General features: G+C 41.2%; 1 long non-coding RNA gene across 1 annotated transcript in view, besides 3 other annotated features; it reads right to left on the bottom strand.

Annotated features, from left to right (window-relative positions):
• Nucleotides 1-924: 924 nt before the first annotated feature.
• Nucleotides 925-23393, bottom strand: part of LOC107984559 (uncharacterized) — a 32511-nt gene continuing 10042 nt past the window's right edge. Inside the window, exons 2-3 of the long non-coding RNA XR_001749987.2 lie at nucleotides 18277-18434; nucleotides 925-1316 (exon numbers count right to left, since the gene is read on the bottom strand). This is a non-coding gene — a long non-coding RNA (uncharacterized LOC107984559). The remainder of the gene's footprint in view (nucleotides 1317-18276; nucleotides 18435-23393) is intronic.
• Nucleotides 13719-13958: an enhancer, noted in NCBI's record as "active region_7737". NCBI's record gives its function as "activates an Ori minimal core promoter by ATAC-STARR-seq in GM12878 lymphoblastoid cells {active_cell/tissue: GM12878}" and the evidence as "EXISTENCE:reporter gene assay evidence [ECO:0000049][PMID:35858748]".
• Nucleotides 22349-22857: an enhancer, noted in NCBI's record as "NANOG-H3K27ac-H3K4me1 hESC enhancer chr13:49449639-49450147 (GRCh37/hg19 assembly coordinates)". NCBI's record gives its function as "activates a minimal SCP1, AML or CMV promoter by ChIP-STARR-seq in naive H9 embryonic stem cells {active_cell/tissue: H9 hESC(naive)}" and the evidence as "EXISTENCE:reporter gene assay evidence [ECO:0000049][PMID:30033119]".
• Nucleotides 22858-23366: an enhancer, noted in NCBI's record as "NANOG-H3K27ac hESC enhancer chr13:49449130-49449638 (GRCh37/hg19 assembly coordinates)". NCBI's record gives its function as "activates a minimal SCP1, AML or CMV promoter by ChIP-STARR-seq in naive H9 embryonic stem cells {active_cell/tissue: H9 hESC(naive)}" and the evidence as "EXISTENCE:reporter gene assay evidence [ECO:0000049][PMID:30033119]".

Here is a 23393-nt window from a genome sequence, read left to right as displayed (position 1 = left end):
CTATTCTCCACACAGTGAACTCAGGAGATTAAAATTACAACGAATGGTGCCATGGCTCTAAGGTTCCAAGTCTGGATGGGTAGAATCGTGGATGGTCTATTGTCAACAATAAAAAAGTCTTGTTTTTAAGTTAGAGGTGCTGGTAGCACTTTTCAGTAGAATTATTTATCAGGCATTAGAAAATGTATATGACTTGAAGTTCAGGACTGAAGATGTGGATTTGGAAGTCATCCTCAAATAGTTAAAGCTGGGTTGGGGCAAGGGCGAAATTGATGAGATCACCAAGGAATTAAGTGTAAGAATTTTAGAAAATAGACCCAATGCAACAGCCTTGGGAAATGTCCTATAGAAAGGGCATAAAGAATGGTTGTTGATGACAGGAGCAGAGAAGAGCCATCAGAAAGGCAGGAAATGAGCAAGAGGAATGTAGTATCAGAGAAAGCGGGGTGGTTGAGAGTTGCAGGAGAAATAAAGGTATTAACAATGATAAATTTCTCACCCTTTGGGTCTTAGGTTAATATTGAAAGGTCTGGGGAGCTGGGTGCTGTGGCTCATGCCTATAATCCCAGCACTTTGGGAGGTGGGAGGATCATGAGGTCAGGAGATCGAGACCATCCTGGCTAACATGGTGAAACCCTATCTTTACTAAAAATACAAAAATTAGCTGGGTGTGATGGTGGGCACCTGTAATCCCAACTACTCAGGAGGCTGAGGCAGGAGACTCACTTGAACCCAGGAGCTGGAGATTGCAGTGAGCCAAGATCATGCCACTGCATTCCAGCCTGAGCAACAGAGCAAGACTCCATCTAAAATAAAATAAAATAAAATAAAATAAAATAAAATAAAATAAAGGTCTGGGGAAAAGCTCCTTAGGCTTGAAGCAAAGACACAGAAAAGAGAGGACCAAAAGACTATAGGGAGGGAAGGCAAGCATCAGAGAAGGTGCTCAGGAAATCCTTTTTGAACAAGGAAGGGTGAACAGTGGACCAACCATTACGTACCTGGGAAGTTCTTGGTGGTATCCCCAAAGTTTTTAATTAATAGCTGTGGAGCTTCCATTGTTTTCCATTGTGTCCTAAAAACCATAAAATAATGCAGCTGAAACGAGTAATTCACTCTTAGGTGTTTTCTGGTCTTTGTTTGATACTCAGTATAGAGTTATCTTAAAAGCTCTCAATCCACTTGCTCAGCAACTTCAGAAATTGCTACAGAAATCACTGGTTGGGCTTCCAGTCTTGGTGCAATGGACATGCTGATGTCTGCTGCTTCCTTCCACACAGTCTTCTTGGGTAGCACAGTCAGGAGTCACCAGGTTCCTATAAAAGAAATCATCAGTTGATAGCTAAAGATAGGCCCAATTACAGTACCTGGCAGGCATCTTGCACTCTTTTGGTTAGATTACAGGACCCAGAAGGGACTATCTGGAAGGCATTATGAGATTTCTCTCAGCTTTACAGAGTTTCTTGTTGGAATCATATCCAAAGGACAAGGGTGAGTGGCTGGTTGCCTGTCAGTAGGCAATTTGTTGGCTGCATAAGCTGCAAAATGTGTATAGCCACCCACATTAGACATATTTATGTTTAGCTATATATTAGAAATAGAAATATGCAATTGAAATTAAAAGAGCATTGCTCTGCTGTAACACCTTCCTACCACTCCTCATCAGAGCACATAGTCATATCAGCAAGCCCTCTTGGAAGGGGCACAGACATGGGAGTCAGGAAGACTAGGTTCTAAATCCCTGCTCTGTACCTACTAATATGGCCCCAGTCAAGTTACATCACATTTCTGGGTCTCAGATTCATAATGTAAAAACAGGAAGTATTGTAATTGGACCTATCTTCAGCTGTACACTGATGACTCATGAATCCACATCTTTGCTGAGATCTTGCTCCTAAGTTATTTACCCTTATGTCCAATAGCTTCCTGGGCAATCTCTATGTAGATGTTTCACAGGCAACTCAAACTCAATTCTTCTACAGATCAGGGCATTTTACCTGCTGAGAGTGGGAAGTAGGGGTGGAGCATTCCCAGAATTCAGGATGGAGAGGCCCTCGTTCACCTTATATGAAGCCGAGGCTGTACGGGAAGTAAGGGAACACCCCTATCACCTCTTCTTCCCATTGGTGTGTGAGGGTGCCACTTAGCTATTGACTGTGTACCTTTGAGAAGTTGCCTAATTTCTTTGTGCCTTGGTTTGTGCATGTATAACCTGAGGGGGTCGGACAGGACCATCTCTAAGGTCTCTTCCAACTCTAATGTGATTTGATTTTTTTTTTTAATTGAGACGGAGTCTCACTCTGTTGCCCAAGGTGGAGTTCAGTGGCACCATCACAGCTCACTACAACATCTACTTCCCAGGCTCAAGGGGTCCTCCCACCTCAGCCTCCCCAATAGCTGTGTCTCCAGATGCATGCTACCATACCTGGCTAATTTTTTGTACTTTTTGTACAGATGGGCTTTCCCTATGTTGCCCAAGCTTGTTTCTAACTCTTGGGCTCAAGCAATCTGCCCGCCTCAGCCTTCCAGATTTGATTTTACTTTGTAGTTACTCCTTTCCTCCTTAAGTCTTTTATGTTTCATTTATTTCTCTTTCTTGACACCCCTTCCCCTCCTTTCTAAGTGTATAGGTTGGTGGTGAAAAGAAGGTTGAAAAATCTTAGGGAAACTAGACAAGAATGCATATGTTATCTGTTCTATACTTGGGTCCTCTATGTATTGACTTCTGTTTTCAACTTAAGCCCATGAAAAATAGGCTTAAGTTGATCCTTCAGATATTCTAGGATATTTTCAAAGTGGCCCAGATTGAACTGGTTTTTAACTTGGAGGCATTGGTCTCAGTCACACCATCTATCAGCAATTCCATTGTTTTTTGTCAGAAATATTGTCTCTAATCAGCAACTTTAGCCAAATGTCTCTATGAAGATGCATCATCAAAGGGAAAGAAGTCTATTCAGAATATCTTTCAAACCAAATTTCAGTAACTTTAGTAAATAGTAAGATTTCCATTGGAATGAGGTCACCTGATGGCTCAGGCTTCCCAAGGTGCCATGTTAGTACATATCTAGGAATTCCTCTGTCAATTGCTGATATGGCTGATTCCTTGTCATTGTTCAAAATTCAGCTCAAATGTCATCTTCTTGTAGAACACTGCCTTGACCATCCTAGCTAAACCAGTCTTCCAACTGCTTGGTCACTTTACCACATCATTGCTTTTCATTATTATAGCATTTATCACTGCCTGAAATTACAGTGTTCATTTATTTGTTTATTCCTTGTCTTTTCCTTCACAAAATGAGAGCTCAATGGAAACTGGAAGTTTATTCACCTTGTTCACTAATATATAGCCAGCAGTTAGACAAGGGCACATAGAAAGTAAGTGCTTGAGTACATACCATGGTGAATAAATCAACTTTTGGAATGTGCAAGAGTTTACCTAATACATTCACCCAACAACCTCAAATGTCAGGTCTTCCATCTGACTGCTGTGGAAATGGGTTAATAGCCTTAAGGGTTTTAACACTGGACTAGGTGGTCTTTTATACAATCTGATATTCTCTGCTTTCCAGCCATACTATATCACTAATTAGCTAGGTAATGCTATCTATATGGAAATTATAAAGATACATTCACACATTTATCTTTACTAAAATTCTTACTGCTTGAAATAAATAATGATCAATAACACTTTTATTTTTTAAATGTAGTTTTCTTTTTTAAAAAGCTGAATAATCCTTTCTTCAAATGAAAAGCTTATGAGGAAGCCTAATACATATGAGACAAAATGAAGTCAACTGAAAGAAATAAGAATGAGGCAGAAGACGGGGAAGATTTACAGTTTTATCTACTCCCCGGAAGTAAAACCCTTTTCCTCATTGCAGCCCCTGGAATAGTTTGATTATTACTGGATTATAATAATAATAATAAGTAATTTTTTTGAGTAATTAGTAGGTACCAAGTACTTTACATGTATCATCTTGTCAATTCTCATAACACCCCTATGAAATAAGTATATTGTTATTGTCTGTATTTCGCGAATAAGGAGACTAAGGTTTAAAGAGCTAAAAGTAGCTCGCTCAATATCTTTGTGGTAGTCATTTTCCAAGATAGCTGCCAGTGATTTTCACATTCTGGTGTCAGTGCCTTGAGTAGTCCCCTTTCACATTAAATCTGGGGTGGACAGTGTGACCAGTAGAACATGGCAGAGTTGATGGGATATAAATTGCAAGGTGAAGCCATAAAGGCATTGGAGCTGCTTTGCTTTCCTGGGTCACTGTGGGGTAAGCCAGTTGCCATGTCATCAGAACATTCAAGCAACCAGTGGAGAGGTCCATGTGAAAGGAAATTAATCTCCCTGCCCATAACCTCCACCAACTTGTCATGTGAGTAAGCTGCCTTAAATGTAGATCTTCCAACCCCAGTCTAATTTTCAGATGACTGTAGCCCTAGCCAATATCTGACTGCAACCTCATGAGAAACCTTGTGTCCAAGACCACCCAGCCAAGCTGCTCCCCAAATCTGACCTACAGAAACTGTGGAAGACAAAAAAAATGATTATTGCTGTCATAAGCCAGAAAGTTTTGGGGGTGATTTGCTATACAGAATAAGGTAACTGGTTCAGCCTTGCAGACAGTTAAATGGCAGAACCAACATATTTAACCCCAAATGTCATTCTAGAACCTATTCTCTTAACCATGAATGCTCTGTTTGCTTACACACTCATTTTTAACACAAAGTTAAAAGTTATTCAAGCATCTCACAAACTCCATGTCACAGATAAGAAAACTGAGGCATGAAGAGGTTAAAAACATAATTGGTGATGACCAAGTGTGGTGGCTCACTCCTGTAATCCCAGCATTTTGGGAGGCTGAGGCAGATGGATCACCTGAGGTCAGGAGTTTGAGACCAGCCTGGCCAACATGGTGAAACTCCATCTCTACTAAAACTACAAAAATCAGCCAGGTGTGGGGGCAGGTGCCTGTAGTCCCAGCTACTTGGGAAGCTGAGGCAGGAGAATCGCTTGAACCTGGGGAGGCGGAGGTTGCAGTGAGCCAAGATTGCACCACTGCACTCTAGCCTGGGCAACAGAGAGAGACTCCATCTCAAAAAAAAAAAAAAAAAAAAAAAGAAAGAAAGAAAAAAAAATTAATTGGTGGCCGGGTGGCCTAATTCCAAGACCTATTCTCTTAGTCACTATGCTACGTTGATGTCATTATCAGAATTATCCTTCAATAATATTAAACTGGAGATGGAATGCCAAGAATAGAATGAAAAGGAAAGAGCCTAGAGGTGTGCACTTTCACTGGGAGGCTTTTGCAATTATTGAGGAAAACAGTTATTTGAAAGAAACAAGGCCTCTGTCGTGGAGAGTAACTACTGAAATATTTCTCAAAATATCCTTGATACCACTATCAGCTACTGAAGATTTGGATGAGCAGGCTCTTGGTGTGACACAATACGATATTTCTTGTATTGCAACAACCTCTTCTCATTGGTCAATCTTCCAGAAGAAACTTAACCATGGTCATTGCCCAACCCATTCTCCCAAATGATGAGAGTTGAACCAATTGAAGATTGCTTTCAGCATTCGCTATTATGTTTAGTCTCTGTTTTCCTGTAGCACCCTAATAATTGTCTTTATATTAAAATATACATGACTGTTTTTGAAAGAGGAAAGATAATGGACCAAGATTTTCTGTCTTTGAAGTAAGCTAACGAATCAGTATAATTGGAACGAGAAATCCTGGCACAGGAAGAGAGAACTGATTGTGCTCTGTCCTTGGTAGAATTTTGAGTCATTCATGCAGTATAGTGTCTGGAGAGTTCTAGTGAGTCATGCATTGCTAACTATGGAAGAAAAATGTATTTTCTAAAGTTGTCTGTTATTACTCATGTCTTTCAGTCAGGATCAGCAGATGCTGGTATCCTATTGACTGGTGATCTAATAGAAAGTTTCTCATAGACAGGTCTGACACAATTTCCCTCTAACTCTGATAAATTTGGCACAAGTCCTTTTATTTGCTTGCAAGATGTTTGCATTAACATTGTGACTTATTTTTGGCTTGGTGTTAGAAGGAGTGTTTAGTAACAAAATGGAGCATTTGGATTTTGTGGCAGCCAGGAGGAATGCTCTTATTTTATAATGAAACAACTGAACAAATGTTCCTTACAGTGATTCATTCCTCATGTGGGAAAAATTTCATTTTATATATACTCTTTCTCTCTCTATTGGACACATAAAGCTGTTTTACCTTCAATATTTAGGCAGAATTTTCAGTGAGCAATTTGGGAACAATATCTGTAAATTACAAAGATAGGCACCTCTGCAAAAGTAACCATAGGATTGAATGTCAGGAACCACTTGGGTTCTATTCCTAACTGGGCCAGAGTTTGCATATGACCTTGAGCTATTCACTTAATCTTTTTTAAACTTAGGTTTTCTGTCTGAAATGGGCAGAAAATTGCCTACCTATTTAGCTAAGGCAGAAACAATTTCCTGATAGGGAGATGACTCAGCGGCCCAGGGCAGCTGTGTAGCCTTTTGTCCTGGGCATCTTCAGGGAGACAGAGACAGCCAGAAGACTGGAGACCAGACCACGCAAATGAATCCTGACATTCAGGAAGCATAAAGAGGCCGAGTCATCATGGCCTGCTATTTGTCAGGCACTGTGCTAAGACCTGAGAGATGATGGCCAACCAGACACAACCAGGGTCTCTGTCCTCATGAAGTTTACTGCCTAGTTTGCTTTTTACATGTTTGAGGTTATTCAGCAAGAGCTTCTATCATTTTATTATCTGGATCTGAGTCTTTTTTTAAGCACAAGATTATTCAGAATCACTGCCCAAAAAATACAACCCTAGGAGTCTTGTGGGAGAGGAGTTTGATATTTTATGAAGTATTGATAAGATGGGCATGAAAAGAAGTGCAATGTCTGATGGTGTTATTCCAAAGTTTGACTCACTAGTCTTAATGGGAGCAATAGGTTCATCTTGACATCAGGTAATGACACCATTACCTGAGATGAGAATGTGGAGAGAGCTTTTTAAATGTCTTGCATGGACTTTCACATCAGAGTTAATACCCCTCATCTCCACTGCCTGCAGTGAAGCTTCTTCTTATCAATCTAATGTAGTCCAACTTGGATGATGGGTGATTGGTCTTTAGCAGTTGAATGATGGGTTCTAAACGGGAGAACTGATCCTGATCTTCTGTGGTCAGGGGCGCACCCAATGATGGTGACATGGCATCCTTCGTCTTGCACCACGTTTTTGGTCTCAGCACAGAAGTGTTCTTCCCACAAAAGGAAGTTTAAAATGCCCCTCCTCTTGCCACTGTGAGTGTTGCTTTCCACTGAGGAATGCAGCCACAGGTGCCGAGATTAGGAAGGTGGGAAGAGAGCTGCACCATCACACAGTGGGTCCATCTGCTTCAGCTGATGTCAACTGTCTGGGAGTTCCTAAGTCCTCCAGCATTAGTGGCTCATCTGTTTCATTATAATTTTCAAATTAAAATGGTTCAAAATCCTCTTCTACTTATGATGGGTGTCCCAGAAGCCTTGAAATATCTCTCATGGTTTAGGGAGTTTATATTTCAAGTCATTTCTGAATCAAAACTTCTGCTTCATCTGAATTCTTTTTCACCTCTCTTCTTATTATCCCCTACATATGTTGTCCACCTCTTCCCCCTAGCATTACACCCTATTAGGAACTGCCCGATTCCTTCATCCTCTGAAGCCCCACTGATCTGAGTCGGTGGAGGGGGGTTACATCACAGCAAACAACTTAAAACAGATGTTGAGCGCTCCTGATCTTACAAGTTCTTTGGCCATTCCTGCTCAAGTAAATTTCTCACTGGCTCTGTCCTTCACAGACCTCTTTTTCACTATCTTATTGAACTCTCTTCTTATTCCTAAAGCTCAACTTCTCTCTCACTATATTACTGTAGGGAATTTGGTTCTTTTTTGCCTCTGTCTCAAAACTCAGCTCTGGACTTCATACCAGACAGCTGGTTTTTGGAAGGAAATATGACAAAGTATAGCATTTTAAAAAATGTTTTCAGGACAACCATATATTCAACGTTCTCTTTCCAATGACGTATAAAAATTTTACTATTTTTCTGCTATCATATAGAGTTTAAGTTCTTTGGAAGAATGGACAGAGATGAAATATGAGGAGGCACAAATGTTGGAGTAATGGTATGTTTCATGGCCCTTTCCATAGGCAGTTCAGTTCACAGCATGGCTGTTTATTTCCTTCTGGGCCAGCAATAGAGCATCTTTCTGCTGCTTCACCTTTTAAAGGGCTCACCAGATTAGGTAGGCCCACCCAGGTTAGTTTCCCTTTTGATTAACTCAAAGTCAACTGAATAGGAACCTGATCATGGGAGTGATATCTCATCATAGTCACTGGTCCTGCCCACATTCAAGAGGATGGAACTATGGCAGGGCCTATTTATTAGGAGGTGGGAATCTTGGAGGCCATCTTAGAATCCTGCCTACCATAAATGATGACTGTCTTTCATCTTTCAGAACATATTAGGATATGATAATAAATATTAAAAATCAAATGCCTCACCAGAGATCCAATATCAAACTGGTACTAAGTCTTTTCTCTATAATGTCTTCCTGATTTTCTTTCTACAATTTGAAACATTGAACTGTTTTCTGTATATGATATAGGCTTCCCCAAAATTGAACATAAGGCTGTATTAGAAAAAGTCAATCTGACACCAGCCATCTGCAGAACCAAAGCATTTTAAGCAATGATTTATAAATGGGAGCCTGGAGAGTTTGAGGAATACCTAAAACTAAATTAAAGTATTCGAGCTATCAACTCAGAGGAGTATGGCTATATATTAGTCTAAAGATACAGCTGACTTAGTTGGTTTTTGTCCTAATGCAAGATGGATTACACAGGGAAATAAACTACAGTGAACTTGGAAAATGGTGAGGCAGAGTTGTTGGGTTTCATGATGACAGCCACCAAAATAGTTTTGTTTTTCACCCTGGCTTTGGTTTCCAGATAACTAAGCAACCTTCTCATTCAAATTTGGCTTTGTAAGTATCATGCAGAGAATTTACTGATGCATGGGCATGGGAATTCTGGTACTCTTGATTATATTTTGTGATTCTTGATTATATTTTATATATAAATATGTTTTATAACGGAAAATGATGAACATTCTAGTTTATGTATTATTCTTGCATTAATTTGATTAATGTTAATCAGCACCCTAGAGCCCAGCTCTCCCTACATATACCCACAGAACTGACCTTCTGGCTGTGAAGTTGAGGATTAGACTCTAAATGAGATGACCAAGGACGTTGTCATCCCCTAAGACCCTGACTGGCTCCTGGCCTAGACAACAATTCTGTCTCAACTTTCTCTTACTGCAGCAGGTTCAATTGATAACATGCGTTGAGAAGGCAATGTCAGTGACCTTAATGTTCTGAGCCAAAATCAGCTAGTGGCACAGGCTGACAACCTGAATATGTTTTTTAGCTGAAATGAGCAAGTGGTTGCAGCAGTCACCACAGCAACGGCGTGGCTGGAACACTTGGGAGCTTTCAGCAGAGTAATAAGGGCAGCTGTGAGGATGGCTTCAACTGGAATTAATAGCGACTAACTTTTAGTACTAGCCTTCTGGGAATCCTTTATATTTTTCCTAGTAAACAAAAGTACGCACTGTGATTGTTCTTCAACATGAAACCCTTCTCTTGGCTTTTATGCAATACTTCTACTCTTATTGCTCTTCTAGATTTTATAAATGCTAAGTAAATCTTCATAACAGCCTGCAATTTAAAGGGTGGGAGAAATGGAAAAAAAAGGAATTGGAGAATTCGTTTTAGGCTACAGAAAACCATAGCTTTTATCTAATTTTCAATTTTGCATTCCTGAATTTTTCATTTATAATCTTACTCACCAGGCTGCACTTATGTCCAAATTAAAAGAAAAGCAAAGTAAAATGATAAGGAGAGAAGAAAAGTGAACTCAGAGAGTTGTTTTGAGTCTATTCTATGAAGTCAGAGTTTTGGCCACTTGCTTAGTGATTGCATTTAAAAGTCAATCACAGCTTCACCTGCTTGGTTGTTAAGATGGGGCGATATTGCAGTTATCACTTTGGTAAATGTGAATAAAACATGCTTGACTGGTAATGTGAATAAAACATCCTTGACTGGTACTCTGGAAATTGTGCAAATTGTTAGGACTTTTATTAATAGGAGGACAGGTCTGAGGATGACAGAAAAGGAAATCTAGAAACAAGGTTTATTGATGGTATTTATCACCATCAGCAGAGACTAAAGCGAGGTACCGTATTGGTGAAATAGCCAGTGGCCGAGAGGATAGAGCCAAAGGTGATGACTGATTTAAGATTCTAGTGGTTTAGCACGAATACTAGTGTTTTTTATGGAAAATCCACCAAACTTCAAAAAAAATTTCATAAAGAAATATGTGTGGATGATACTGAGTTAAAGTTAAACTGATTTCTTTGCATCAGTCCTCTCTCTTTCCTTTGTGTTGTGGACTAAATGTTTGTGTCCTTCTAAAATTTATATGTTGAAGTTCTTACTCCCTATATGATGGTATTTGGAAGTGGAGCCTTTGCAATGTGATCCAGTTTAGATGCAGTCATGAGGGTGGGGCCCCCATGATGAGTTTAGTGTTCTTATAAGAAGAGAAAGAGAGACCAGAGCTCTCTCTTTGCCATGTGAAGACATAGTGAAAAGGTGGCCATCTACAAGCCAGGAGGAGAGCCCTCATCAGGAACCAAATCAGCCAGCACCTGCCTAGCCCCCAGAATGGTGAGAAATAAACGTCTGTTCTTTAAGCCACCCAATTGATGATATTTTGTTATGGCAGCCCAAGCTAAGACATCATACTAATTTAACTATAAATTTCCAAGAAGGCTGTGCAATATCCAGTGTTTCTCAAACTTATTTGAATAGGAGTTGTTTTTCTCGGTGATTCTGAGGGAGGGTGGGCGCAGAACTACCCTTAGGTAAGGCAAGAAAGGCACCTGCCTTGGGATCCATGCTTTAGAGGCCCCAGTAGGGCCCTGCTCTGGCTATGTCCCTTCCCACAGGACCATGGGGATAGTCTCACTCAGAAACATAGTGCCCCTTGAAACATCATGCTCTGGGCCTGCATGAGTTTCTATTCTAGTTTGTCCTCCAAAGAGTAGACTCCCCTTTCATCCAGGCCTGGGGGGTAACCAAGGGCCAGTTGTTTGCAGGGGTTTGGAGACAGAGCTGGATGTAGACTGCCGTATCCACACATCAACACATGAGGCGTTCTTGGTGGGGTCTGCAGCTGAGGATAGGCAGAGAAATGGAATGGCTGGGAAAAATTTCACCTTCACCATCAAGTTCCAATGCAGAATGCTATGGAGCCTAAGAATCCTACATTTGAACTTGGACTTCCAAGTTGTTATGAAGGTGTATTTACCAAGGTAGGAGGTTACTTTAACAGTTTGCTAGTTTGCTCAATAACTTTAAAATATTTAGATATATGAAACGTGGGCCTCTATTGGTACTATATACAACTTCAAGCTCTTCAAACATTAGGAGGGAGCCTGGACTACTGTACCTGAGGACCCAGGTCTGAAGAGCTTGCTTTAAAGTTCACTCTGCTGATATTTTCATACACCACTCTACACTCTATTTAATTGTGGCAGCCAGAATTTAGAGAGGCTACGCTTGTACTACAGGTCATCGATGTAGGGAAGTGGGTAGAGGGACAGCCAGATGTCAGGACAAAGGTGCTATGCTTCATGGCTGGCACTACAGATGAATGTGGTGGGCTTCCCAGCTTAGCCTAGGAACATGGCTTTCAAGTCTCTTGTGTATTTGATGTTTGATGATTGCTGCTCTGGACACGTAGTAGGTGCTCAATTAACATTTGCTGAATCAAGTACTGTTCAAATGAGATTTCCAGAGATCAAGAGGTTTTCACAACTACAAAATGAATAGACATATCTAGCAAAAAGTTAATTTATCTGGCACATCCAGAGAGTGTGATGGGTTTTTCAAATAACTAAAGTCTGGATCTTTTAAAGCATGAGGGGTCTTGGGCAACACTATTAGTGCAAACTCCTAAGATAATCACACTTGAAAGGAATCACCCTGTCAGCATCCTTTATAGGCTCCCTTGGGTTATCTTTATTCAAGAGAGAAATTTGAAAATTGAATTTTAATAATGCTCCAAATTAGAAGTATAAGGTGCAGCATCAATATCACCATGGGGCCTAGGGCACTGCCCTCCCCAAAGCATAGATCTAACTACAAGTTACCGTTCCAAATACCAACCTCATTTTACTTTAGCCTTTTAGGGCTTCACAAAATAGACAGTTATTTTATGCTCACTTAAGAGTACAGCACAGTTGTAGGTCAAGTGGAGGTGGTGGTGGTGGTAGTACATATGTATGTGTCTGTGTGTGTGTTTGCTGTGGGAGCAGGGGAAGTGCTCCGCTCGACACAATCATTCAGAGACGAAATCAGATGGAGGCTCTGCCATCTTCAGTGAGAGGCTTCCAAGGTTGCCCTGAATGTCAACATTCACGTAGCAGAGGAATAAAGAACACTAAGGATTGTGGCGGGGACCTCATGCTGGTGAACATCCCTTCCTTTGCTAAGATTTAATTGCAAGACTGCATCAAGCTGCAAAGGTGGGGGAGGAGCTGGCAGAAATAGAGTCCCTAGCTGCTCACCCACTTTTTAGCAGCAACTCTACCCTGTATGAAAGAGGAGCATGGACTTTTGATATACAGCCAGGTATGTCTGATAGGGATGGAAACCTTCCTGAAATGCATGAGTACTGCTCCTGAATGATGCAGAGAACATAATCCTTTCTTGAAAACTTAGTGCAGTTGTTTCCCAGTGTGTGTTCCTAGTTAACCTAATCCTGTGAGGTGCTCCCAAAACAAAACTAAACAAGACAAAAGTCTTGTGGTCAGAACGCCATAATTACAATTTCCACAAAGGGAACATTTTTGGATGTGAATTGCATTTTAACATATGTGACTCTTTTAATTCATTTCAGATTACTTAAATGGATGGATTTTTTTTTTAAACTGTCACTCTTCTACCTGTTTCTCTTCATCTTTCCCAGGTGCCTTTACAGCTGTGAAGTCAGAGAATGAAACATTTTGTGGGTGATGACTTGTAGTTCTGTGCTTCCTTTTTATCTGGCCCAAGTTTTCAATCAAAGAATCAAAAAAGAAGCTTCAAGGGAAAGAAGAACCTGTGTTTGTTTTAGGTATTTAATAGTTCTTTGTTGGTTTGCATTCTGCAGGATATCTAACACTATGTATACATATATATATATATAGAGAGAGAGAGAGAGTGTGTGTGTGTGTGTGTGTGTGTGTGTGTGTGTGTGTGTGACGGACATTCATTCCTGTTGCCCAAGCTGGAGTACAATAGCGTGATCTTGACTCACTGCAACCTCCACCTCCCAGGTTCAAGTGATTCTCCTGCTCAGCCTCCCGAGTAGCTGGGATTACAGGCATGCACCAGCACTCCTGGCTAATTTTTGTATTTTTAGTAGAGACGGGGTTTTACCATGTTACCCAGGCTAATCTCGAACTCCTGACCTCAGGTGATCTGCCCGCCTCGGTCTCCTAAAGTACTGGGATTACAAGCGTGAGACACTGCACCCGGCCCTAACACTGTTATATTTTTCTAGAGAAAATTTCTTCAGAGTTAGAGAAACTATCTGATACCACGAAGAAAAAAAAAAAGACAAACCCTGCTATGGCAGGTGCTTCTGAGCTTGAGTACGTATTTTAGCTTCCTACACATTGCACTGTCTATGATTTAAGAGTTTCAGATGACAGGAAGAGAAAGAAAAACTTCTGTTCTTTTCTAACAAGTATTCTTAGAAATGCCAACTCATTTTTCTGGAGTATATATAGCACAAGTTAACAAGAAAATGAATCACTTCCAGTACTATGTGGGAACTGTGACACTGTAGTAACACAGCTTACTTTCAAACGAGTGGCTTGAAAGCAGCATTCTCTATTTTTAAAGTTACAATTGGATTACCAAAGTGGGTGAGCAAGACTCTGAAGAGGGCTCTCACCTCAACTGAGTTTAGGGTTGTCCTCAAAGTTAACTGAACACATTTAATAGTAATATATGTAATTGTCATTGTGCTGTGTATTAGTCCATTTTCACATTGCTGATAAAGATGTACCTGAGACTGGGTAATTTATAAAGAAAAAGAGGTTTAATGGACTCACAGTTCCACATGGCTGAGGAGGCCTCACAATCATGGCAGAAGGTGAAAGGCACATCTTACATGGCAGCAGACAACAGAGAAAATGAGAGCCAAGTGAAAGGAGTTTCCCCTTATAAACCCATCAGATCTCATGAGACTTATTCACTACCACAAGAATAGTGTGGGGGAAACTGCTCCCATGATTCAAGTATCTCCTACCAGGTCCCTCCTGCAACATATTGGAATTATGGGAGCTACAATTCAAGATGAGATTTGGGTAGAGACACAGCCAAACCATATCGTGCTGGATGATAATTGGGTATAAGTGGTATTCAGTCCCACATATGAGTCTGTTTTGTCACAGCAAACCAAGCATTTCTAGAATTCTGGTGGGTATCATGTCCTGCCTGCCCTTTGTTAAAGAGAATCAACTCTGGGATCTAATTAAAGATAAATTTTATTTTTAAAAAACCAAATATTGCAATAGAGGAAAAGAGGCTCACTATTGAACTGAGCTCAATTCCAAATACAGTGTGGACAAGTAGGGATTTATAGCCAAGGACAAGGGTGGGGACCAGTGGATGGAAAAATTACTAAGAGGAAATATCAGGGGTAAGGGGGATTTTAGCTAAACTGATGGTAGTATTCTTATTGAAGGCAGGCTGGAGAGATCAGATTCTAAGAGTGAGGATAAGGAATTATTAGATATCAAAGATGGGGATTCTTGCTAAACTCACCTAACAGAATTTTTTTTTGTTAAGTCTTGGCATTGTAAAGATGGACACAGGAGTCTGAAGGTTGGAGCATGTTGAGAAGTAGCCTCAGAGGAGCCTGACCAAAGCTGGTCAAGGAGTGTCTTAGTCATCCCTGTATTCCACCTTTCCCCTGCCACAGTTCTCTTTTCTCCAAGCCTTATAACCTATACCTGCTGGCAGTTCTCAGGCCCTGCATCAATCCCAACTTAGGGCAAAAGGAATTGGAAAGATGACAAGTAGATTTCAGTGGATGCCTGCTCTGTTTGATTGGTAGTGGCTGCTAGAAGCTCAGAGTGAACAGAGTCTGGGTCTGGGCTCGCTCAGTGGGACAGAATGGCATGGGGCAGGAAAGACTGCAGCCAGCAGCACCTGGGATGGAACCAGGATTTAAGAAGCCTAAGATTTATACAATTTATACAAATGTATTACCATATGAACAGATTGCCAAGGCCTTGGAAAACACCTGTGGAAAGGAGAGGCCCTAAAGCTTAAGGTTTTTTAGCTTCCCAGTAAATTTGCCTTTGATCAAGTCACAAGCGTGTCATTCCTACTCTGGTCCTTTCTGGTCATATGTTTAATGCACAGAGAAAGAACTGGCTGATCATATAAAATGCGCTAAACCTACATTCCCAAGAATTGTAATTACAGATTATTATTGTCTTCATTTTAATTTTTTTTTACAATGATCTTATGTAAGTTTTATAACTATAAGAAAATGGAATCAGCTTTCTACTGTACATAAGTAGCCAAGGGGCTGTTTGGGCAAGAGCAAAGACAGCAGCACTTCTTGGAGACTCAGCGATTGTAATTCTGCTCCTACTGGGTAAATCCTTGTCTATGTTTATCTCATCTAGATGCTTTCATGTGGAATTCTGAAAGATGTTAGGGGCACATAGACACACAAAAACCTTTTTGGGAAATTTTTAACTTTTAGGATTTTGGAAATGTTCAGAAAAGTTGACAGCCAGACTCCAGTGTCATTAATATTTACTATGTCCCTTCTTTATTCATGGACATTCCAGCATCATTTATATCATCTTTGTGAACCAGTTCAAATGAAAAAGTCCCAAGATAGAACTCTCAATCATCCATGCGTGAAACAATATGTAATTAAAACTGACAATTGAAATATACAAATAATTCCATATTTTATGTAACTATTGTCATATGTTTCCCTACTTATCATTTACCAGAACTGGAATTTTCCAAGGAGGGGAAAAAATCATAACAGTTAACATTCACTGAGCACTTAAATTCGGTGCCAGCCACAATTCTAAGCACTCAGCTAAACTTCACAAAACCCTAGGTCATCGATAATATTGTCCCCATTTTATAGATGGGGGCAACTGAGGTACACGGGATCAGGAATTTGGCCATAGTTAAACATCTAGTAAGTAGCAGAGCCTGGATTTGAAATCAGGGAGTCCAGGGCCATCCTCTTTAATGCTGAATTATGCCACAGTGGAGTGATATGTAGAGAACCAGAATTCTAGAGCTGGGAAGTCAGATCTTGGATTGGGTATGCTGGGAAAGGAGACATGGCCTAAGACTCATGTGGGGATTTCAGGCTAGAACAGGAATCCCTGAGGGGCTGTGAGTGGGCCAGAGAAGGGCTGATGGGTCTGGTAGAAGCTTTAGAATGTGCTGGACTCTTCTGGTGACAGAGGCAGAGTGACTGGGCTGTTTGGTAACACATCATTTCCTGGTAGGGAAATTTGCACTTGTCTCATAAACCATTATACTTCAGGTATCCAGCTTTGCTGCCTTTTAAGGAACCCCAATGCTCTACCCTCATCTTCCTAACCTGTGGCTGCCCAGCTTGCTGCAGATTCCTTGATTTCTAGCTGGAATGCAAGATATGAATTAAGTAAAAATTCTCTTAAGCCCCTATCACTCAAGTTCTTCCCTTCCTCCTCTCCATTCTCCTTTCTCTTCTCCAGTAATCAAGGTATCTAATTATCATCATCATCATCCTCCTCCTCCTCATCATCATGCCAATGTTTATTGAGCCCTTACTGTACACCTGGTGAGGCATTAAGCACTTTGAACACATCTTCTCATTTAGCCCTCACAGCCACCTTAAATGGCAAATACTATTATTACCATTCTCACTGGACAGAGGAGTGTACTGGATCTTAATGTGGCCACTTGCTCAAAGTCACCTTGCTCTAGCTCAAAGAGCTTGTAAGAGGCAGAGACAGGTTTTAAACCCAGAACTGTGTGAGCTGAAGCCCAAGTTCTTAACCCCGTATCTTGTATTGTTAAAAGAATTAGTCTGTAAAGAGTTTGAGGCAAGAGTTGAAAAGGAGAAGACATGATAAGTCTAAAATCTTTTCTTACCACTATACAGGTGGCTGCTTCCTTAGAAAACAGTTTGTCCACACTTGAAGTCCAGAGTGCCTTCCTACCATTTGCCTCAGTTATGGCTTCATCATTTAGGATTATAGCCTCAGTTTCTGTCTGTCCCCCTTTATAGGTCTTGAGCTCCTTGAAAAAAAAAAAGATCTATGCCTTTTTTCTTTCAATCCTCTTTTATCTAGTGAAAGATCTGGCCCACAGTAATACTGAGTAAAATTTTGTTGTAAGCTAGCAATGTGAAAGTTCACAAGTATTAAAAGAAAAACGTCAGGCAAATTAAATTTAAAGGAGTTAAACTGAGCAATGAACGATTTGTGAATCGGGTAGCCCCCAGAATCACAGCAGATTCAGAGAGACTCCAGGGATGACTCGTGGTCAGAACAAATTTATAGACAAAAAAAGGAAAGTGACATACAGAAATCAGAGGTGAGGTGCAGAAACAGCTGGATTGGTTACAGCTATGCATTTGCCTTATTTGAACACAGTTTGAACACTCAGCAGTGTAGGAGTGGTTGAAGTATGGCTGCTGGGATTGGCCAAGACTCAGCGATTATTACAGGAGCATACCTCTAAGTTAGGGTTTCAATACCCTAACTTGTCTACCTGTTAGGTTGCAGTTCATCCACAAGGACTCAAATATAGAAGTACAGAGTCCTTCTCAGGCCATATTTAGTTTGCTTTAACACAAGTATTGCAATTAGAATACCTGGCTTTGATAGTTCATCTTGCTGCTCACAGGCTTCGCAATACTGGGCAAAGCATTTAACCTCTCTAGGGTCTGTGCCTCTGTCTGTGGGTCATGGGTGATTATATCTTTATAGTGTTTGGCGGTTTAAATGATCGTATGGATGTAAAGGCTCTTTGAAATTTGTAGAATACACGACCTAAGTCTGAGGTATATTGTGAGTATAGCCACTGCTTCCCATGTCAGCGGCTGATACAGCACCTTCTCTGATGCAGTCTTCTCACAGCATCCTGGGGCCGGCTGGCAGCTGTCTCAGTTGATTGGTCTCTGCAGCATCCAGCTGTGTTCCTTCAGGGGAGTAGGTGCTACTCATCAGTATTGCCCATGTTGTACGGATAATCTGCTCCATTTAGGGTTGACTGTAACAAAATCGATAGATCTGAGGTTGATATTCTTTCATGTCATCTGCCCACATTTGCACTAGGTCCTAAGGAGATGTTAAATGATCATAAATCTGGGTAACTATTAGGAAAAGGAAAGAAAGTAAGTGTCTACACAGGTTAGGGAGCAGATAATTGGCTCCCACACCATTGAAGCTTAAGTGTAGTAACTCATCAAAGCACTGTGTTCTTCCTGACAGTCTGTACCATCCACAATTAACCTGGTCTGCTAAACGCAGCAGAGAACATAAAAACCTCAGGAAGCTGACATCTTTAAAGGCTTTTAGAAAGCAATGAGTCAAGCATTCAAGAATCTCTTCAAGTTTCACATTCACTTCAAATTCAACATTCTCTTGCTTTCATTTTTTATTATTATGAAATTCCTCATTTTAGGGAAAAATCTTTCTTTTTCTATTCCTGAAGACCTTGTCTTCAATCGTAACAAATTTTCTCAAGGTTTTCTGAAGCCTTCAAACACCTAATACCATGTAAAGGTGGAAATGATTTCCAGCTGTTTTCTTTTTTCTTTTCTTTTCTTTTCTTTCTTTTTTTTTTAAGATTTGTTCATCAGAGTCAATGTGATAATTTTACCAAGAGGCCTTTAGCTATAAGAAGGTAACAAGGAGATATTTGGCATAAGCTCAACATTTTCTTTGGCCAGTCATATAAAGAACTATACTCATACTTAGAACCATTGTATTGTATACAGGGAAAAAACGCTTTTACAATTTTTTTTTTTTTTTTTTTGAGACAGAGTCTCACTCTGTTGCCCAGGCTGGAGTGTAATGGCGCAATCTCGGCTCACTGCAACATCTGCCTCCTGGGTTCAAGCAATTCTCCTGCCTCAGCCTCCGGAGTAGCTGGGATTACAGGTGCACACCACCACGCCCGGCTAATTTTTGTATTTTTTTTTTTTTTTTTTTTTTTGAGACGGAGTCCCTCGCTCTGTTGCCCAGGCTGGACTGCAGTGGCGCGATCTTGGCTCACTGAAAGCTCTGCCTCCCTGGTTCACGCCATTCTCCTATCTCAGCCTCTGGAGTAGCGGGGCTACAGGGGCCCGCCACCATGCCCGGCTAATTTTTTGTATTTTTAGTAGAGACGAGGTTTCACTGTGTTAGCCAGGATGGTCTCGATCTCCTGACCTCGTGATTTGCCTGCCTCGGCCTCCCAAAGTGCTGGGATTACAGGCGTGAGCCACCGCGCCCGGCCAATTTTTGTATTTTTAGTAGAGACGGGGTCTCACCATGTTGGTCAGGCTGGTCTCGAACTCCTGACCTTATGATCTGCCCACTTCAGCCTCCCAAAGTGCAGAGATTACAGGCGTGAGGCAACGCGCCCAGCTGCTTTTACAATTTTTAAAGGTTTGGTTTTTTTTTTTGTTGTTTTTTTTTTGAGACGGAGTCTCACTCTGTTGCCCAGGCTGGAGTGCAGTGGCACGATCTCATCTCACTGCAACCTCTGCCTCCCAGGTTCAAGTGATTCTTCTGCCTCAGCCTCCTGAGTAGCTGGGATGACTGGTGCACGCCACCACACCCGGCTAATTTTTGTATTTTTAGTAAAGGTGGGGTTTCACCATGTTGGCCAGGCTGGTCTCAAACTCCTGACCTCAAGTGATCTGCCCTCCTTGGCCTCCCAAAGTGCCGCGATTACAGGCATGAGCCACCGTGCCCGGCTGCAATTTTTAAAGGTTCTTTTTGACATAGTGATTCCATTTCTAGTAAACAATCTTGAGGAAATAATGAGAGAGATGGCATTTCTTGTAATAGTGAAAACTTGGGGAAAATGCAAAGGTCTAACATTGGAGAGATGGTTAAATAAATTCTTGCTTATTAAATAATTTACTGCTATTAAAAATGACATTTTCAAAAAATTTAATTACATGGAAACATGCTGGCTAACATAATATTTAGTGAAAACTCAGGTATAAATATTTGTATATCATGGACATCCCTACTACGAAAATACGTACATATTTATATAGAAAGGAGGCTGGAAGGAAATCCACCAATATGTTAATTGAGGCTACCTATGGGTGATGGGAATATATGTAAGACATATTTTTGTTTTAATTATTTTGTATTTTAAAAATTTGCTGCAGTAAGGATATGTGAATTTTACAAGAAAAAATTACAACCTTAGAAATGCCTAGCACAATATTTAGAGTTATTATACTGGCAATTGATTACCTTATGATGGCATATTGAAAGCATTATATTTTTACTAACTTAATTTAACTTAATTTTTAAAAATATTTGAGGCCGGGCACAGTGGCTCATGCCTGTAATCCCAGCACTTTGGGAGGCCGAGGTGGGCTGATCACAAGTTCAGAAGTTCAAGGCCAGCCTGACCAACATGTTGAAACCCTGTCTCTACTAAAAATACAAAATTAGCTGGATGTGGTGGCGCATGCCTGTAATCCCAGCGACTTGGGAGGCTGAGACAGGAGAATCGCTTGAACCCGGGAGGCGGAGGTTGCAGTGAGCCGAGATTGCACCATTGAACTCCAGCCTGTGCAATAGGAGCAAAACTCCATCTCAAAATATAAATAAATAAATACTTGAGACAGGGTGTCACTCTGTTGCCCAGGCTGAAGTGCAGTGGTGGTATCTCTGCTCACTGCAGCCCTGTACTTTTGGGCTCAGGTAATCCTCCCACCTCAGCCTCCAGAGTAACTGGGACTACAGGCATGTGCTAAAATGCTCAGCTAATTTTTGTATTTTTTTGTAGATACAGTGTCTCACTATGCTATCCAGGCTGGTCTCAAACTCCTGAGCTTAAGCAATCCTCCTGCCTCAGCCTCTCAAAGTGTCAGGATTACAGGCATGAGTCACCGTGCCTGGTCTTTACTAAATTTAAAGAATAAAAATAAAGGAATCTAGCAGTGGTGCTCCACAGTCTGTAACCTGCCCTGGACCTCTTCCTAGGCATTTTTATTTCTTTGATTTTGTAGGTCCATACAATCACTTGATTAGGCAGATGACAGAACTTTCTAGAAGAGTTCCCTAAATCCTTCAGACTAGTAAAATGCCTTTGATGTCCCTCATCATTGGATCCTGCTTAATTCCAAATAGAATAGCCTGGGAATTGGGGCAGGGAGGGCAGGGAGGACTAGTGACCTGTTTAGGGCAAAATTTAATGTAGTTATGGTTATGGGTCAAGCACAGGTGTCAATCACAGCTGCTACCTTTCTGCTCCTTAGTTTCCATATGTGGATTAACTGACATAACCAAGGTTAGCACCCTGGCTGACCCCATAGTCAGCACTCAATAAAAGTTAGCTCTTACTGAACTTCAAAAGGAGTAGAGCCCTTTCATCAACTCTGCAGGCATAAGTTAGAACAATGTCAGCAGGTGTAGCCAACAAGCTAACTTCTTGTTAGGAAGGAAGCAATTAACAGGCTGAGTCTTGTGTTTTGTTATTGGTGAGGGTAGGGAGGGGGTAGGGGCTCAGAAAGCCCCAGAGGGCTGTGCCAGGGAAACAGAGCTGGAGGCACCAGATCAAGGGTTGTGAGACAGGGAGAGTTCAATGATGGAGCAGCAGTTTGAGCACAGAGGTGGACAGAGCCAGGTGATAACTGTCTTGGGGCAGTTGATTGGGGGTTGTGGGAGCTGCTGTTGATGGACAAGGAGAGGAGGCCACCACTGTTCCTGTCACCGGGCACCTCCTCTCCAGCCCAGCAGTCAAATGCCCCCTTCTCCTGAACTACCACCCAGGGAAGGGTGAGGAATGGACAGTTTTGGCAATACTGATGAACTTAATCTAAGGAAAAAGCAGGACCCCCGCCACTCCTCCCCCAGGGTGGGGTGCCAGGGGCAAGCAGTGGAAAGAGACTCTTCCCACACTCCCGACTCCTCCACTTCTTGCTGCCAAGGATAACAGATGCTATCATATAGGTTCAAACAGGTGCTCACATGCACTCTGGTGAAATGAAACAGGAAAACCTGTCCAGGGTGACAGAAGAAAAATCAAGAATTCGACATTTTGGGCTTTGAATGGCTTAGAAAGAAATTAGTTCCCTGAGTGTCCTGTAAAAGAGAATCCTTGTCCTGTCAGATGGGGGAGTTTGAATTAAAAAGAAAATCGAGGTGCTTTGGTATTACAAGATCGGAGAGCGATTTTTAAAGAAACACAGGAGAGAATATCCGTTTCAAAGATGCAGGCAGTTCCCTGGTTATCAGCAAGATGTGACTGCCAAAACGAAGCTAAAATCACTTCTAATCCTCTGGTACCTGACTGGCAAATGAACAGGAGAGGAAAAGGTTGGTAGGTCAAGGCCGGCATTTGGCTTGGTCCACATGGGGTGGGGTAGAAACAGATTTTAGCATGGGTTGGCTTTAAATAGCCCCTGTTGTAGCTGCCGAGCACTAATTCACTCATTCTCTTTTCCAAGCTGAATGTAGATGTAGTACTCTTCTGTCTCTGTCCATCAACACCAATTGTTTTTCCAATAAGAATCCAATATCGTGGGCCAGGATAATAATCCAGGAAAAGCTTGTGATGGAAATGGTGGATAAAAGGCAGAGGAGAGTGCCTCTACTTAAAATGCATACCCTCCTTTCAGAGGTTTGCGAATTTAGAGACAGGTAAAGTCTCCTTACTCCCGGCCTCCCAGCTCTCCTGCAAGCCTTTCTTTTCATCTAGAACTCCCCCTCTGGCTTGCAATAAAATACTTTGCATTTGAAAAAAAAAATGCATCCTATTAGAGACAAACTTCTTTGAGCCTTAAAGGCTTTTTCCAGCTTTAAGAATCCTCTACTAAAATGCAAATATTCAGGGAAGGAGTAAAATCTGCAGCTTTGACAGCCGGATACCTTATCACTACCCATCACTATCACTTTAGCAAACATTTACTGAGCCCTTACTATCTGCTTAGGAATTTATTTATTTGTTCCTTCATTTTTTTTAAATTTAAAGTCAGGCTTATTGAGGTGTAATTTA

The sequence above is a fragment of the Homo sapiens genome, chromosome 13 (genome assembly GCF_000001405.40).
Source record: "Homo sapiens chromosome 13, GRCh38.p14 Primary Assembly".
Taxonomy (NCBI): Eukaryota; Metazoa; Chordata; class Mammalia; order Primates; family Hominidae; genus Homo; species Homo sapiens.
Note: the sequence above shows the minus strand (reverse complement) of the source record. Positions and strands in the feature narration are given on the sequence as shown.